The sequence below is a fragment of the Homo sapiens genome, chromosome 5 (genome assembly GCF_000001405.40).
Source record: "Homo sapiens chromosome 5, GRCh38.p14 Primary Assembly".
In the NCBI taxonomy this organism is placed as follows: Eukaryota; Metazoa; Chordata; class Mammalia; order Primates; family Hominidae; genus Homo; species Homo sapiens.
In genome coordinates, this window is record NC_000005.10 from 14305731 (window position 1) to 14323543 (window position 17813).

The window sequence follows — 17813 nt, forward strand, 5'->3', positions numbered from 1 at the left end:
GTCTTGACATCCTAGTGTCCCTGAGCGAATTAAATGGACATGTGATTTGCTGCTACAGTTTTGTGTCTCATAAAGATGTTTTGGTCAGTGATGGACTGCAAATAAGACAGTGGTCCTATAAGATTATAATATTGTATTTTACTGTACTTTTTCTATGTTTAGATACACAAATACTTAGCATTGTGGTACAGTTGCCTACAGTATTCAGTATAGTAACATGCTGTACAGGTTTGTAGCCTGGAGCAGTGGGCTGCTCCCTATAGCCTAGGTGTGCAGTAGGCTGCATCGTCTAGCTTTGTGAAAGTCTACATTGTGATGTTCACACAAGGACGAAATTGCCTAATGATTCATTTCTCAAAATGTGTCCCTGATACCACGTGATGTCTAACTGTATATTTGCTTCAGAATGTGGGCAGTCCTTCTCTTTCCCGTGGCAGTTGGTATTTGTTTGTTTCTTTAGCCACCTTTGCCTAATAAGATACAGTTTTTTCAAGTAACATTTCGTGTTGGCTATGGAATTAAGAAAGTCAACTCTGTATTGTTTCTTAATTTTGCACCAATGTTTCTTAACTAATTTGGTTGTCTAGTCTGTTAGAAACTATTTAAATAAGTGATAGCCTTTTCTATAGTAAAACTGAAAATTGAACACATTTATAATTTTTTTAATCACATTGGCTCATGAGGATTATGTCACTTCTAAAAACCATCAAGTTCTTTCCCGTGATGTGCCATCTCTATGCATTGTCTAATTTTGACCTATAACACAGAAAGCAAATGACCCTGTTACTCACACATGTAATGAGGCCTCCACTCATCTGCTTATATGAATCTCTTGCTTTGGAGCTGTTCTTTGAATGCAGTGGTGGGCTTGCAGCCAGCTGTCTGCATGCCCTTGCCCTTGCCAAACCAAGATGGGCTTGAATAGCCTTCATTTACAAGGTGATTGGCAGACCCTGGGAATACAGTCTTTGTGCATAACTTAAATCAGAATCACCTTGACCCAGCCAGTGTCATCCTCCAGCCAAGCTGGCTCTTTCAGTCTGCTTGTTGCTCTCGGCAGTTTTCATTAAATACAGAATCTCCTAATTGTTACCAGTGCATTCTATAAAAATGGGGCATCTTGACACAGGAACTTATGTTTACCTGTGGTATAGTTTTATTTGATTTACATTGGTACCAGTATCTCAAAATAATTTGATAGGAAGTTAAACAGCCTCTCAAACTGAGGTCTTAGATGGAATTTTAGCCTAAGAACATGTTTGCAACTGAGCTGTAAACTCAAGGAGACAGTAATTTGAACTGGATGAACTGAAAGGATTTTCAGTAGAACAGAATGAATTATTTTGCCTCTTAAATTATTTACATTTTGAAATAGTTTCAGGGCTACAGGAAAGTGGTAGAATAGCACAGAGAACTCCCACATTGCCTCGACCCAGATTTTCCAAGTTGTAGAATTTCACTACGTTGCTCCACCCTCTCTCCCCACTGCCTCTCTCTCCAGTCAGCAAAGCACCATTGATACAACATGACCATCATCTCCACAGCCACTGATCCTATTTCCCCAAGTGTTCCAATGATGCCCCTTTCTCTTCTGGTCTGGGGCACTGTCCAGCAATGTGCGCTACATTTAATTGCCATGTCTTACCAATCAGTCTCCTTTAAAATGGAACGTTCTTTAGTCTTTCTCTGCCTTTATGTCTTTGACATACTTAAAGAGTACAGGCCTTTCTTTCTTTAGATGGCCCTCTACTTCTGGTTGCCCCCAGTTCTCGTGGGCTGACTCAGGCTGTGCCTTTTTGGCAGTGCATGTCCTTCTCTGGGTGTCATCACAGTGGACAGAGGATACTGACCTCTCCGGCTATGAGTAGTGTTCATCTTGGCCACTTGGTCAGATTGGTGTCTGCAGGGTTTCTCCAATGCACAGGCACCATTTAAAAAATTAGTCTTTGCTGCACATTTTGTGGGCAGCTACTCTAATAGAATACCAGTCTCTGTTTCTCATCAGACTTCTCACAGCCATAGTTTCCACTGAGGATTTCTGCCCATAGCAGCCACCACTGTGATGATGATCACCTATTTCCATTATTCCTTCTGTATTTATTAGGTGGCTTTCTACCATAAGAATGAGCTGTATTTCCTTTCTCTTTTGTTTGTTTATATCAGTATGAAAGTATGAGATCTTACTATATCAGTCGGTTATAATTTGATACTCTTTTGATTCCTAAATTGTTCAGACTTGGCCAGCAGGAGCTTTTTTCTGTGTCTTTTTGATATGTCCTTATTGTCCTTTGAGCACTTGTTCCCAGCTCATTTTGTACTTTCCCTGCCTACCCTGGGATCACTCGTCTCACTAAGTGGGATGGTTCCTTACAGTATTGTATGGTGTTTAGAATTTTAAAGACCTGGGTTCTCAGAGTTTTGTTTGTTTGTGAGGTGTCACTGCTTCTAGACCCTCTTAGCAGACAGACTTATGAAACATATGAATGCCATCCATTCACCCATCCATCCGTCTATCTCTGCATCCATCTGTCCACCTAACCACCCGTTGTTCATCCACCCGACCACCCATCCATCTACCCAATCACCCAACCACCCATCCATCCATCCACCCACCCACCCACGCACCCAACCACCCATTCATCTGTCCATCCATCCATCCATTCAGTCACCCATCCATCCATCCATCCTTCCATCCAACCATCCATCCCTCTATTTATCCAATCCCCATCCATTATTCCATCCAACCAATTACCCAGCCACCCATCCGTCCATCCATCCACCCTCCCAACCTCCATCCATTTATCCATCCATCCACCTAATCACCCAACCACCCATTCATCTGTCCATTTATCCAATCATTCATTCATTGATGCGTTCATTCATCCATTCATCCAACCAGTCACCCAACCACCCATTCATCATCCATCCATCCATCCATCCATCCATCCATCCATTCATTCTCCTAATCACCCAACCACCCATTCATTTGTCCATCCATCCATCCATCCATCCATCCATCCATCCATCCAATTACCCATCCATTCATCTATCCAACCAACCACCCATCCTACAGCCATCCACCTACATTTATCAATCTACCCATCTACCCATATCCATCCATCTGCCGTATCACTAAATTGCCCATCCATTGACTCAGTCACCCAACCACCCATCCACATTTGTCTAGTCCATCTGTCCATCCACCCAGTCACCCAACCACCTATCCATACACCCAGTCACCCAACTGTCCATCGCCACCTCATCACCCAACCATCCATCCACCCACGCAGTCACCCAGCCACTCAGCCACTCATTCATTTATCTATCTACCCACCACTTACCCACCCACCCACCCATCCACACATTATCTACACATGCACATACACATCCATATAAAATTACTGCTGTATCTATCTGTGTCTATCTGTATTAAAAATACATGTGTTTGTGCATTTCGAATCCAATACCTCAGGGTTCTTTCCATCCTTTCCCTTTCTAAGTTTGTTAATCTATTCTCAGGCAGCAAGAAACCTGGCTTCTATTTTCCTTAATGTATTAACTTACTTGTTCACTTGGTGTATTTGCTCCATTTCCCAACCATTCTGTCTGGGTTCTCCACCTCCAACTCCTACCACCCACTCCCTTAACCTGGCACAGGGACACCTCTTTTGGCACCTCCACCCCTCACTTCCTCATTTTCTTCATGCCAAGAGGGAAGGTGTCAGGAAGATGGGAAGGGAAGGACTGCTTTTGTTTTGTAAGTGATTTTTATTTTATATTCCTAAATCAGTGGTTTGCAGACTTGAGTGTCTTGGCTTAAAATGCAGCAGTACTCTACCCCAGAGATAGTGAATCTCCATTTTCAGAGGCCTTCCCTAGTTCTGCAGTGACTGATGCCAATGGTACACAGATCACATGCTGAGCAGCACTCCTGAGCTTGCTCTGAAGAGCTGGGGGTCTGCTGAGGAGGTGTCCATCTCACAGATACGGAGCCCCTGCTAAGTGCTAGACATTGAACTGGATGCCGGGTCATGTGGGGTTAGGAGTACTTATAAGCAGGGCTTGCTTTGCTTTTTTTTATTTCCTTTTCCTTGCCTCTCTCTTCCTGTCCTTCCTTATTCCCTTTCTTCTCTCCTCCTCTCTTCATTTTCTCTACAATTTTTTTTCTTTGAACAGGGTTTATAGTTTCTAGTCTCTGATCATATAAATTTGCTTTGGGAAACTTTCCCAGCATTTTTCTTCCAAGACGCAAGCACCTGCTCTGCTGTGCTTTAATTAGACCTGCCCGTGTCACTCCTGTTTGTGCTTTAGCAACAGGAACGCACCTGGGCCTCCTGAACACTCACTTGCTTCAGCTTGCCAGCTCTGAGCTTATCTTGTTGGCTACAGTTGATCACAAGAGAGTGAAGCAGTGTAAACGTCGGAGATAAGTTGTAGTCATTTTTAACATTTTAAGTAAGCCAACTCAGCTACCAGTTTTTCAACAAACTGAATTTATAAAAATGATTTTCATCTCAGTGTGCCTGTGTTGCCTCACAAGCCTCAATGCCAGGTGTTTGGATTGCAAGGTGAGACTGCATAGTAAGCAGCCACACATCCACCAAAGGGCCACTGCTGCAGCCACGGAGCACAAGCAAGGCGAAGTGCCATGGGGCGTTGGCCTGCTGGATCTCATGTGACTTCAGGGCTTAGATTCTGCATCCATTTCTCAGTTTAACAAATGTGCCAACTTAGTGTGTGCCTCAACAGGGCCTCATGGGAATGACTGATTTGCTGCCTGCAAAGCTGGTTGAGCTCCTGTTTAAAGGCACTGTATCAGTGGGTGATGGCAGGGTCAGTGCTATTAGCCTAAGATGAAAACACACAGCAAAATGAGTCACCTGGATAGGAAACTTCTTAAAACCAAAAAACCACCTCTCCGTGATGTGTGTGGAAGCTCAGTTCCCTTGCGGTAGAGTCACTTCTTTTTTGGCAGAGTGGAGTCTTCTTCTGTTGCCCAGGCTGGAATGCAGTGGTGCGATTTAGGCTCACTGCAACCTCTGCCTCCTGGGTTCAAGCGATTCTTGTGTCTTAGCCTCCTGAGCAGCTGGGATTACAGGTGTATGCCACCAGGCCCGGCTAATTTTTATATTTTTAGTAGAGACAGGGTTTTGCCATGTTGGCCAGGCTGGTCTTGAACTCCTGACTTCAAGTGATCCGCCCACCTCGGCCTCCCAAAGTGCTGAGATTACAGGCGTGAGCCACCACGCCCAGCTGTCACTTCCATCACAGTTGTATAAAGCCTCATTAAAGATCGCAGTGTTGCTGTAGCGACATGCAGTGCTGTAGTCAGCATCTGCCATAGTATCAGAGCCAACAGCCCATATGACAGCTGTCTTCTTCTCACCCCAAACTCAGCTTGAGGCCTTGCAAGCACTTGAAATATAAGAGCAGCAAAAGTAGAGCCCAGGTGCAGCCTATGGAACACACATGTCAGGCATATGGAACTGACTCACGCCAACTGGGCTGCTCCAGACGTTTCCTGTTTTGGTCTTATTTTGGTTTTTCCTTTCTGATAATCCCAGGTTTACAGGTGTCAGAGAGTCAAACCAAGGTAAACTGATCTGGTTTTGAATAAGAAACTGAATAGCTGAAAGAAATAGAAATCATCATTTGGAGGTCCATCCAATAAGAACTTTGCCTGGAGAAGGAACCAGCTTTCTCTGTGTTCTCCCTGAAGCATGGGAAAGTATCTGTCGTTGGGAACACACATGACCTTTCAGGAGGTAATTGACCTGCACTGTTGGTAGGAGCATCTTATGTAGCCATCTGAAGACAGATTGGAACCTCCTTACTCAGAAGGGTTCGATTGTTTGGCCAAGGAATGTCAACTGTTGCTGCAGAATAAGCTGGGTGGTTACCTGCTGACCCCTTTTCATTCTTTTCTGCTTTATTAGAACCTTGATATGAGAATAAGTTCAGCAAGAGTTGGAGAGGAGAGTGAAATCATTCCCAGGCTTCGTGTGGAGGTCTGTGCTTTGCAGGCCATGGCGAGCTAAGCCTGAAAAAGAATTAAGACGGTGTTGGCTTTGAGTCGGCAGAAATAGTGCAATTCATTTCATAAAAGTTTTGAAGGAACACTTTTTCTTTATTACAGGCTAAATGTCTTGGTGTATTTTGCCTGTTTTTGTTGTATCTTGGGAATGCCATTTTCTAGCACTTTTTAGATCTAAAACACTGCGTTTGGACCTAATTGATATGCTGTCACTCATCTTTATTTGGTCTTTGGGCAGTTGTTGCTTTTGCAGTGGTAAGCAAGAATGTCTAGATGCTATTGTCTTTCCTTAGGTCAGAGCCACGTTCATCCCTTGTGCAGGTGAAGAATATTCCTGCTGGAAACGCTCAGCCCTCATCTGATTTTACAGGAAACGTAGAGATCCCAGTACCAGAAACAAGAATAGGCAAATCTCTGAAGTTTTATGGCTCTTTTTAAGGGTGACATGCAGAAATCCAAGTTACAAGTCTATGTGCAGTTCTGATGAACAGTAAATATTCAAGAAGCAGCCCATTGTTCTACATTTTAAATAGTTATACTACCTTTTAAATATTAGGAACAAACATATCTTTGATATGGTAAAATTTTAAACTTACCTTTAATTACTTTTTCTGCTTTAGTTAGTACTTGCATTTTTCTGAACTCATTTGGATATCAGAGCATTTTAGTTTCTCTTTATAAAATGTTAATCTTTGTAATATGTAACTTTGATTGCCCTTCAAGTTCCCCAGCTGTGTATTCCAAGAAAAACAAAGAGCAGACTGAAAAATGAGCTGATCTGATCGGTTCAAAAATTATTATAGGAAAGTCCTGCTATTTAATAAGGTTGATTTTCTTTTTGCAGCTGTTGTCTCTTTGTGGCTCAGAGTTTCAGTGCCTGGAAGCTGAAAACAGAGTTTTAAACAAAATGTATAACTGAAGTAAATTCACTCACCTGGTTCAGTAGTTAAGAAACTGTGGAACTACACTACATGCCATAAACTTACATTACTTGTTTTAGCACTTACATTTTATATGAATTTTTTTGTCTGCTCTATATAGTCTCTTCTTTCATTAATTTTCTCCTGGTTATTCTGTACCATTTAAAAATTATTATCTCTATACAACAGAACAGCAGTCCTCATAAAATTGTAGCATGTTGTTTCCACATAATATTACTGTAATTACAAAGACTAAGACATTTTGCCAAAAGTGAAAACTATATATGCCATCCTTTATGTGCTTAAATCATACTTTTTAATTGCCAAATCTACAAAACTTGTACTGAAATAATATAGAATCATATTTGGAAAGGTTTATTGGCGAAATGCTGTTTTTGAACATGGATTTGGAGTTCCATGCTGTCTGGTTTTAAAGTGGGTCCAAGAGGTGTTATCTCGCCCAGGGTCTTTACTGCCGCTGTCACTATCAGTAAATGACAGTACCAGTGGTGGGACCAACAGACACATTAATCCCTGCTTATGAATTCTCAGAAGGTGGAGCTTTCCTTAATGAGTTGTTTTATGTTAAGGTATTTGTGTATTGACTTTCTCAGCAGACATTTCCCACTACCCCTCCACCGCCATGAGCAAGTGTGTCCTTCGAAATCCAGTCATGATCTCTGGCATGGAGATCTGTTAAACAGTTGCAGAGACACTCAAGGAAAGAAATATTGCATGGAATGTTGTTGCTTAGAGTACTCCATTCTCAGTAGAAGAATATTAATGGTGTCACAGGGATGAGTTTTGGAAACTTGCTGAGGGCTGGGAACTCATCTTGTCCTTTTGCATTTGGTGGTTTAAGTTGCAAAACAATGGCTTAAGATGGAAATTGGCTTTCTCCCTGTGTAAAAGAAATCCAAAGGCTGTCATTCCAGGGCTAGTGTGGTAGCTCTATTAGTAAGAGGATCTGTGGATCCTTCTGTCTTTCTGTGTTGCCTTTTTTAGCAGGTAGGCTGCTGTTCTTAAGATTGCCTCAGAGTCATCAATAACTGCTAAAGCTCCAGCTATCTCATTCAAGTTCTTGGCGGCAAGGAGGAGGAAGGGACAAGGGGATGAGCATACCTGCCAGCTTAGCCCCTAAACAGCTTTCCTGGAATTCCCATTCAACATTTTTTACTTTTGTATATTGGCCACTCATATATGTAAGCAAGGCTGGGAAATGTGGCATTACAGCTGGAGTGTTGCTGTTTCTGACTGTAGGGGTTTGGCTATCAAGGAGGGCAAGTGGACTTTGGGGAAGCAGCTGTCAGTTTCTGGCACATGTTCACCAAATCATAGGCTCTGATGTACATTTTCCAACAGTAATGCAAGGAGTAAAATGTAGAGGAAATATTTGTAAGGAATTCTTTTTAGGGTTAACACCATGTGAAATGTATGACTTGGAGCAGTAGCTCTCAGTTCTAAGAGATGCAGCACTCCAATGATATAACACAAATTTTATGACACCTGCTTTATGATCCTGAACTAAAATGCATACGTAGTTTAATCTACCTTTGCATATAATTTATATGTGTACATAAAAATTATATGCTACATTGTAAGTTGGAGACAAAGGTGATTTATGATAAAATGTTTTTCAGTCTATAAATGCCTAAATACATCTATTGTAGGTGAAAAAATTAGATATTCAGATGCTGGTCATATATATAAAACTATTGTGAATATAGCAACTACAACTGTAGCCTGGTCATGTGGCATCTTGGTGATGCGAGTATTGAGAATGGTTTTATTGTGGTCATGTGATATTTTGAAAGGGAAAACAGCTCTTGTAAAGTTCCAAAGAAAACCAAACACTGTCTTTGATTAACATGGTTGTTGGATTTGTGGGAAGATCAGTATGTTAAAACTGGGCAAAAGAGAAAAACCGTGTATTTATGTGTTAAAAACAGCCTTGCCTAGATGATCACGAAAAGCAGGACATTTCTTCACCATGTGCTAATATCCTGCTCATTTCAGAGTACCCTGCTTCTCTGAATCCACCACCCAAATCAATCATGGTGCCTCCTCTCTTCAAAATCTTTGCATCAGCAATGTCCACACCAATTTCAGTGACTTCTGGGCACAAATGAGAAGCCTGCTTGAGAAGACTGTTTAAATTTTCCATTTTTGTTTTAACTGACACTAATTCAGCAGTTAACTTGGTTGGTTTTTCCTTTATTATCTTTGGTTATGTCAGCTGAGCTGATTTCCTCCCAAGTTTTGCTGTTAGGCTGTATTAAGTGAATTTTAAACCCTGAAGCCTTCGTAAGGAATAATCAGCATTTCCAACGTCTCAAATTCAGGTATTGAAAAGTAAACGTGTTACAATCTGGCACAACTGCAGTTAGAAGAGGATTAAAGGAAGCGATTAGGAAATTCTGCAGGGTCACTTGCCACCAGGTTTTGGTTTAAAGGCTCTCAGTGTTAGCTTTTCCCATTTACCTATTCCCTGTGTGCTCTTTTTTATTCTAAGGGTTTCTTCTAAACTGGGCTTGTGTCTGTTAAAAGTGCCCCTGAACTTGCTCCTCTTTTTTTTTTTTTTTTTGAGATGGAGTCTCACTCTGTCGCCCAGGCTGGAGTGCAGTGGCACACGATCTCGGCTCACTGCAACTTTCATCTCCTGGGGTCAAGCCATTCTCCTGCCTCAGCCTCCCGAGTAGCTGGGACTACAGGTGCCCGCCACCACGCCCAGCTAATTTTTGTATTTTTAGTAGAGACGGGGTTTCACCATGTTGGCCAGGATGGTCTCGATCTCTTGACCTTGTGATCCGCCTGCCTCGGCCTCCCAAAGTGCTGGGATTACAGGCGAGAGACACCACACCCGGCCTGCTTACTAGAAACTCAAAGAGGTTTTTAGATTTGGAAGTATCTAAGCTGAAGGATCATGTGAAGAGGCCCTACCTACTTAAGACACCTGCATCCCACACCTGGTTACCTTATGCATCTCACACACACTTTGTGTTGTCTGATTGTCACTTTTTTTCCCCCCAATAACATCTGGCGTAATTAATTACTCATAAGTCTTATGAATCACTTTTAAGTAGGAAAAATACATAATGTTTTTCTTTCTAAATTGCACCCTCACCTTTTCTTATTTCTTTGATTAACCCGAATACTTTCATTTAATTGTAGTTTGAGAATAAATTGCCATAATATAGCACTTGATGGCATTTTAATTAAAACTACCTTTTAAAGTTAATGAACCAAATAGAATGGCATTTTAAATTTTCTTTTGTGAAGTTAAATTGCTCTCCAGCTATGTCAGAAAGTTTAAGTACATATTCTATGCCTAGTGCTAGATTGATTTTTTTGTTTTAACTGAGGCTTTAAGGAACAATTTTGTTCCATTGTGATGATCTGCTGTATTCTCTTTAACATGTCTCGAGATAAAATTATTACTTTTAAATTTTAATTTGCAGATATCCCAGGAATGCAGTTTCTGTTAGTTGATTTATGGCATTTAAGGCAAATAGTATGCCTATTCATTGAGTGGTATCTACTACAGTGTTTTGTAGTAATTAATGTTCTTTTATTTTCACCTAGTGTTTTGCATCATTTGGCTTTGTGATGTCATTGGATAGCTGATGGATTGTTTTAAATTTTATCCTATATAAAACTGCCTCTGAGTAAAACTGTGGTGTGTGAATGAATGTCTGGGCATGTGTGTAATGTGTGTACATGTACGTGTGTGCCTGTATGTGCACACACATGTATCCAAGGACAGCATCTGTGGCACAGCCTAGGCCAAACCTCAGATCGTGAAGAATCACTCATTTCTTTTGTGGGCAGGTCAGCCAAGATGGGAAGTCGCTCCTTGACAAGCTCCAGCGGCCCTTGACTCCCGGCAGCTCCGATTCCCTGACAGCCTCTGCCAACTACTCCAAGGCCGTGCACCATGTCCTGGATGTCATCCACGAGGTGCTGCACCACCAGCGGCAGCTGGAGAACATCTGGCAACACCGCAAGGTCCGGCTGCATCAGAGGCTGCAGCTGTGTGTTTTCCAGCAGGACGTTCAGCAGGTCAGTTTCGCCTCATGCCCTTCTGCATGGGAAATGGCTTGTGTTGAGTAGAGTTTAAATACATCATCATATTGGGAAGATCTGTGCTTAAGGAGTGATGACTAGAAGATAAGGAGAGGAGCTTTTTTGTTGAATGTAAGTGAAAACTGGGCTTAGGAACGCGTGTTCAGGCTGCTGTCAGCCAGTAGCTCCTGTGCACAGAACCCAGGAGAGGATGTGGGGCCTACACTGGGAAGTTTTCTTCTAGAATCGGATCATTCTCATTTATATTTATTTGTGACAATAATGCTGGTGTGCTCACACCAGTGTATTGTTATAATTTAGTTAACACTTGTCTGCTTTTCCAACTATGTAAACAGTGAGGTGGTCATGCTTCACTTCCCACGTGGTAGGTAGTGCAGTCCATGGTGCACAGTAGGTGCATTATAATTAGTTGTCTTGTTGATGAAAAGTACACTTTTATGACTATTCATTTCTAAGCAGTTGCCATCTCTTTTGTTTTAAAGAAACAAAAATAAGAGTAAGTCCAGTTCCCCATTGTTTTGCTTCCTTATTATAGAATAAGAGTTTTAAGGATTAAAGCTATGGGAGTAAAATATGACATAGCTTTAGGGATAAATAAGATGATAGCCATGTCCTTGCCCCCAAATAGAGGGAAAGACAAGGGAATGAATGAGGTGTCACCTCTGGGGAGGAGGAATCCTGGAGTATGCAGGGTAGCCCATGGCCTCAGGAAGTTGGCTGGGAACCGCCGTGATAAGCCTGCAGTAGAGCCACTCTCAGGATCTCAGGTTTCCATCTCCCTGAGTGTCATGTGAAGGTGAGTGAGTTTTCTGCTGAATGGGCTGGGAATTTGGAGAGTCGCCCTGTGTTCTGATGAGACTGAGATTCTCTGTATGTCATTCACCATCATTCTCATCATTCTTCACTTCATGTGAATCTGGTAAATTCAAAAGACGTTGAATGGGCCAGGTGCGGTGGCTCACGCCTGTAATCCCAGCACTTTGGGAGGCTGAGATGGCAGATCGCTTGACGCCAGGAGTTTGAGACCAGCCTGGCCAACATGGTGAAACCGTGTCTCTATTAAAAATACAAAAATCAGGCCAGGCGAGGTAGCTCACGCCTGTAATCCCAGCACTTTAGGAGGCCAAGGGGGGTGGATCACCTGAGGTCAGGAATTCGAGACGAGCCTGCCCAACATGGTGAAACCGTGTCTCTACTCAGAATACAAAAATTAGCCAGGTGTGGTGGCGCATGCCTGTAATCCCAGCTATTTGGAAGGCTGAGGCAGGAGAATTGCTTGAACCCAGGAGGCGGAGGTTGCAGTGGGCCGATTATTGCACCATTGCACTCCAGCCTGGGTGACAGAGCAAGACTCCATCTCAAAGAAAAAAAAAAAAATTAGCCTGGCATGCTGGCACATGCTTGTAATCCCAGCTACTCAGGAGGCTGAGGCAAGAGAATCACTTGAACCCAGGAGGCGGAGGTTGCAGTGGGCCGATATCGCACCATTGCACTCCAGCAAGACTCTATCTCAAAAAAAAAAAAAAAAAAAAAAAAAATTAGCCTGGCGTGCTGGCACATGCTTGTAATCCCAGTTACTCAGGAGGCTGAGGCAGGAGAATCACTTGAACTGGGGAGGCGGAGGTTGCAGTGAACCAAGATCACACAACTCCACTTCATCCTGGGTGACAGAGCAAGACTCCATCTCAAAAAAAAAAAAAAAAAGACTGAATGGCCCTGTAATTTTTAATTTTCATATACCGTGCTTTGATTCTAATTTTATTTTTTGAGTTCTCTGAAGGTTACATATACAGAGTGCTTCAGGAATGATCATTTTGTTATTATTCATGCTTCTTAACAATGTTGTTTTAGTCCAAGAAGATAATTGCCAGAGAAAGAATACAGTGCAGGAAAGAAGAGGCTGGAGCCAGTGGTGAAGAGGGATTGAGAGGACAGACATTGTGGGAATGAAATCATGAATAATCGTGTTTTTGAATTGTCCAAAAACTTCTACAAACCATGAAATGTTGGAGTTTAAATCTAATTGTTGAAAAATTCCCCACATTCCTTGTATCCCTTAGGTTGAGCATAATTCCACATCCGTGGACTGATGCACTTCCCAAGAGGGGGCCTCATTAACTCTTCCGAGGCAGCAGCAGCAAGGGCACCCCCTCCTTTCCCCCCACACCCCATTTCTCATGGCTCTTCTTTCTCTCATCTCATGCTTAGGTTAGAAAAGGGCACAAGGTAAGGAAGCCCTTGGGAATAGGCTGAATCTGGCTATCTAATTTGGTGCCAAATACTTAATGTGCTTGAATTTAAAAACAGCAAACATGTAGAAAGGTAATTATAATTATGAGGCCAGTTCTTTAAGCTAGCTTTTTTTCCCCTCTCAAACAGCATATTGGCTTGGATGTCAGCAGGAGAAAGTGTTTTTTGCAATACACATAATGCATATATGGTCCTGTTAGCAATCTATAGAAAATAGATATTGCTCATTAAGGTAAATATTTTTGTTGATGAATGATCTGGAATGGTCTGGACTTGTTGTGTGAACAGGAAATTGCTCTGTAGGCTTTGACTTGTGAGGTAAAGAGTGAGGCTGGTAAGATTAATTAAAGTAAATACTGTGACAATAGGATGTCAAAACCAAAAACGTGTTTCTGAAACTCAAGGAATTAATGACACATAGGGAAGTTTTTGCCATATTAAGCATAGAGTAGGAGAGGCAAGTCAAGAATAAATGAAAGAAAAATAGTAGTACTTTAGAAGGACGTTACCAGCAGAAGATAAATTTGTAAAGACAGTAGTAACCGAAATCCATAAAAACATAGTAAGCCGGTTAGAGACACGACAGTGGTTTTCATTTGATTGTTTTGAGTGATGCAAAAGCACCTGTAAGTACATTGAGAAAAAGGAAGAGCAAGTTACTGAACAATAGGCGAGGCATGGAATGATTACAGTTTTATGAAAGTAACCCCAGAGGAGTAAATGCTTGTCTGTTGAAAAATATTTGAAGGAGCAAATATGTCTATTAGTGGGCCCTGAGGAACTGAATGGGGAAGGATGACAGAGGGAGTTTGGTTTGTAAAACATGGTTAATTTTGGTTTCGAGGTTAATTTTTTCCCCTCTTAATAAGCGGGGGCCAATTCATAACTTCTGTGTAGAAGGCATTTTGGATGGTAGTCAGGCGTGGCGGGAAAGGTGGTTGAAGCTGCTGTGTGTAGCACACTTACCGTGCTTCCAATTTAGAGCTGGGCGGGGAATTGGGAAGACCTGCTGAGGACTTTCCCAGATGCACATGCTGGCTGCCTTTGCCATTGTTCACTTAAAAAGAAAATGGAAATTTTTTATCACATTTCCTAATGATCAGATATATACATCTCTCCATTGCCTTATGTTTATTATCAGAGTAACTCTCAGCGAAGGTTTGGTTGAATGAATGAATAAATGAATAGCTGTGTTACTGCTACACACTGTTTTCTAGTTTAGAGTATGCTTTAGTTTTCTCTAGGAAGGTAACTCATTTTTGCTTTACCTGTTCAGATGGGTAGTAGTAGTCCAAAGAGGATGCCATCAGACTTGTTTTTCTGCCTCAACTGTTCGGCTGGCGTGGCTCTTCTTGGATTGTTGAGATTCAGTTACTCTAGCATGTCAGGAGCAGTGAGTGGCCCCATGTGTTTGCTTTCCTGAAGCCTACTGAGTCCCCTAGAGGAAGCCCCTCAGCAGGGATGCCTTCTGCAAAGCCCCCGTTTCCCCCACAGCCCTTCATGTGTGAGCGCCACCCCCTTGCAAGTGTCTCTTGGCAGGACCCTCCAGGGCCATGTTGGACCATTTTTTAATTAATATTCTTTAAAAAATGATCAGGCAAACCTAGTCCACTCTAAATTCTTCTTGTCCAGTCTTTATTCTTTTTTTCTCTTTCCAAAATACCTTAATTGAATGTGCGATGCTCTGAAAGTTTCAGGGATAAATATGTTGACAGGGTCCAAGTTCCTTTTCTCAAGGAATTTATAATCTGATAAGAGCAGATTATTTTTAGCAGATAGTTTTGTAGTCTACTAAATTTGACTGTGCCAGGCTCATCTGCAACACTCATGTCTTTGGTTATTGTGGAGTATAATTTGCTAAGGCATAAATTTGAATCCTCCTTGTCAAGGTGCTATCAGGAGTGAGGGGTGGATGAAACTTGCGACCTCTTCTGTGGTGTCTGATTGCCTTGCAGCATACACATTTTGATGGGGCATATCTACACTTCAGTGATTTGTGCAAATTTGAGTGTTCCTGAGAGCTTTTTCTGAATTCTTCTCAAACGTCAAGGGTCTAATGCACAAGGAAAAATGAAAGGTCCTATAGTAGAGGGGCAAGTAGCAGCTATCATATTGAGGGCTACTAGGAATATCTTCGTGGAAGAGGTAGAGTTTGAGCAGCTGTTTGAAGGATGAGGAGAAGGTCAGTAGATTGAGGAGTGGGCAATGGGAATTCCAGCAAGAGTAGGACAGAAGAGGCAGGACCCATCCAAGGAGCGGCAAGTGCCTAGTGTGGATGGAGAGGTATGAGGTGGGGCTGGTGCCAGCAAGGTAACATGGGGTCAGGCACAGAAAACGTGGCCCCCACGATGAGGGTTTTGGGCCCCTGTTGAAGGAGCTCATGCTTACCTGCGCCGAATGCCAGTGCATGGTGCAAGGGCTGTGTGTGACTTCTGAACAGCATCAAGCTCATCTTGGTGCTTTGTGGGTGCTCACTGCCATGTATGTGTCTTTCCTCTCTGCATGCTCACAGCTGGCCCATTGAACTTTACCCATTTCACCTCATAGAGTTCAAAGCCCGAAGGATCTCCTATTCTGTGCCTTTTAACTTGATGCTGTAGGCAGTGGAGGGTGGATAGCAGGAGTGAACCTAAAGGCCAGGAACCTGGTTAGGTTCCCTTGTGGACGCCTGATATGGTTTGGCTGTGACCCCACCCAAATCTCATCTTGAATTGTAGTTCCCATAATTCCCACTTGTCATGGGAGGGACCCAGTGAGAGGTAATTGAATCGTGGGGGTGGGTCTTCCCTGTACTGTTCTCGTGATAGTGAATAAGTCTTGTGAAATCTGATGGTTTTATAAATGGGAGTTCCCCTACACAAGCTCTCTTGCCTGCTGCCATGTAAGACATGCCTTTGCTTCTCCTTTGCCTTCCACCATGATTGTTAGGCCTCCCTAGCCATGCTGATCTGTGACTCCATTAAATGTTTTTCCTTTGTAAATTACCTAGTCTTGGATACGTCTTTATTAGCAGCATGAGAACAGACTAATACAACGCCCCTGCAAGTCATGGGTGAGTAAGTCTTGGAGAGTAAGAACGTGAGGACCACAGAGACAGCCATCAGTGTTTCATTCACTGGTGTTTCCCAAGTGTCTGGAAGAGCAGATGTCAGTATTTGTTGAATGACTGAATGAGTAGTTGAAGGAATTTAAGGAATTCCCCAATTTTGCTAATTAAAGATTCTTTGGGGTTAAAAGTTGCTTCATTTCTTTTAAAATGGGGGAGGGTTGGTCTTATATCTGGGAGATCTGCCTGAAGGAATGGAATCTTTGATTGATGTTGGGGAACTAGGGGTGTCCAAGGAAGGAAGTGATAATTTCAGTGCATGGGAATTTTGGAAGTGTGAGATCTCTCATGAGGATTTTGGTCATTTGAATGCAAAATGAGGGTCTTTTATGCTGAATTCCATCTGGAGGAGGGAAGTTGGCATATGCCTAAGAGGCAAAGCAACACATCCCAGGTCTATAGAGAAGTAATTTCACAGATTTGCCTCAGGCCCCAGCCTATTTCTTCGGCCTGCAAAAGCCAGCTCTGCAGGAAGCCTGACTCAGGAGCTCTAGGTTTAGCATCACCTACACTAGACCTAGCTTTTAAGTGAAGTTTGAGTTCCTGAACTCCCTTGTCATCTGTTCATTGAGTCAGGAGGGAGTTTTCTGATTCCAGTCATCAGAATCATATAGCCCTAGCTGTTTAACACTTGCTTCTGTTTACACTCCAGCACTCGCAGTTTTGATTGTGTCTCTTAATTAGAATGGCTACAGGATTGCCATCTTCTCTGAGTTCTCTATTAGAATTAGGGAGTGCTGAGTGGAGGCACAGGCTTGGTTTTGGATTGGGAACTACTGGGCGCAGGTAGAGGCCACCTGCTGATCTTCCTGGTGGGTCTAGAGCCAGCTCCTAATTAACCTTCTGCAGTAGTGAGCACAGAGGAGGTGGGACTGGAATCCAGCCATCATAGGAACCACAGCCAGGATGGAGCTGCAGATTTAACAGTGAGAGGACAAAGGCTGGGGAAAGGGCTGGCTCCCTCCCACACACCCCTCATCTAAAACATCTTCAATGTCAGTCCGTGGTGAATGCTAGACCTCAAAAGTTCCCATTCTTCCCCTGGTCCCCAAAGCCCACAAATGTGTGTTGAATTCTGTGTCTGTTTTATTTCACTTTTAAAAGTAGTCTCACACACAATAGAATTTGAAGCTGGAGCCCCCTCATTTTCCAGGTAATAAAAGCAAGCCTTGGAAAAGTCGAATGGCTTGGCAGAAGCACCGAGAACCTCTTGGTGTTTTTTCTGTGTCACCGCTCTGGGTCTGAGGAGGATGCCTACCTTCTAAGCTAAGCAAAGAGTAAAATCAACGTGATACTGAAGAAAGAATCTTTGAGTGGTGCTTTTAGTCACAGGGAACAGGCTTTCCTAGAAGCTGCAATTGCCCGTGACCATGAAGGAAAACAGCCACTTAAGAACAGAGAGAGAGAGGAGTTTAGTCCT

The 17813-nt window shown here is 42.7% G+C and overlaps 1 protein-coding gene across 11 annotated transcripts in view; it reads left to right on the forward strand.

Moving 5' to 3' along the window:
- Nucleotides 1-17813, forward strand: part of TRIO (trio Rho guanine nucleotide exchange factor) — a 366863-nt gene that overhangs the window by 162389 nt on the left and 186661 nt on the right. For 10 of the 11 annotated variants that reach the window (NR_134469.2, XM_047417679.1, NM_007118.4 and 7 more), the window contains one exon: nt 10783-11013. Coding sequence is in view for 10 of the 11 variants with exons in the window: in XM_047417679.1 (XP_047273635.1) it covers nt 10783-11013 (231 nt within the window). In the remaining variant the exon portion in view is untranslated. Of the gene's footprint in view, nt 1-5580; nt 5766-10782; nt 11014-17813 lie in introns of those variants that run through there. The other variant, XM_017009803.2, reaches the window with a different exon arrangement.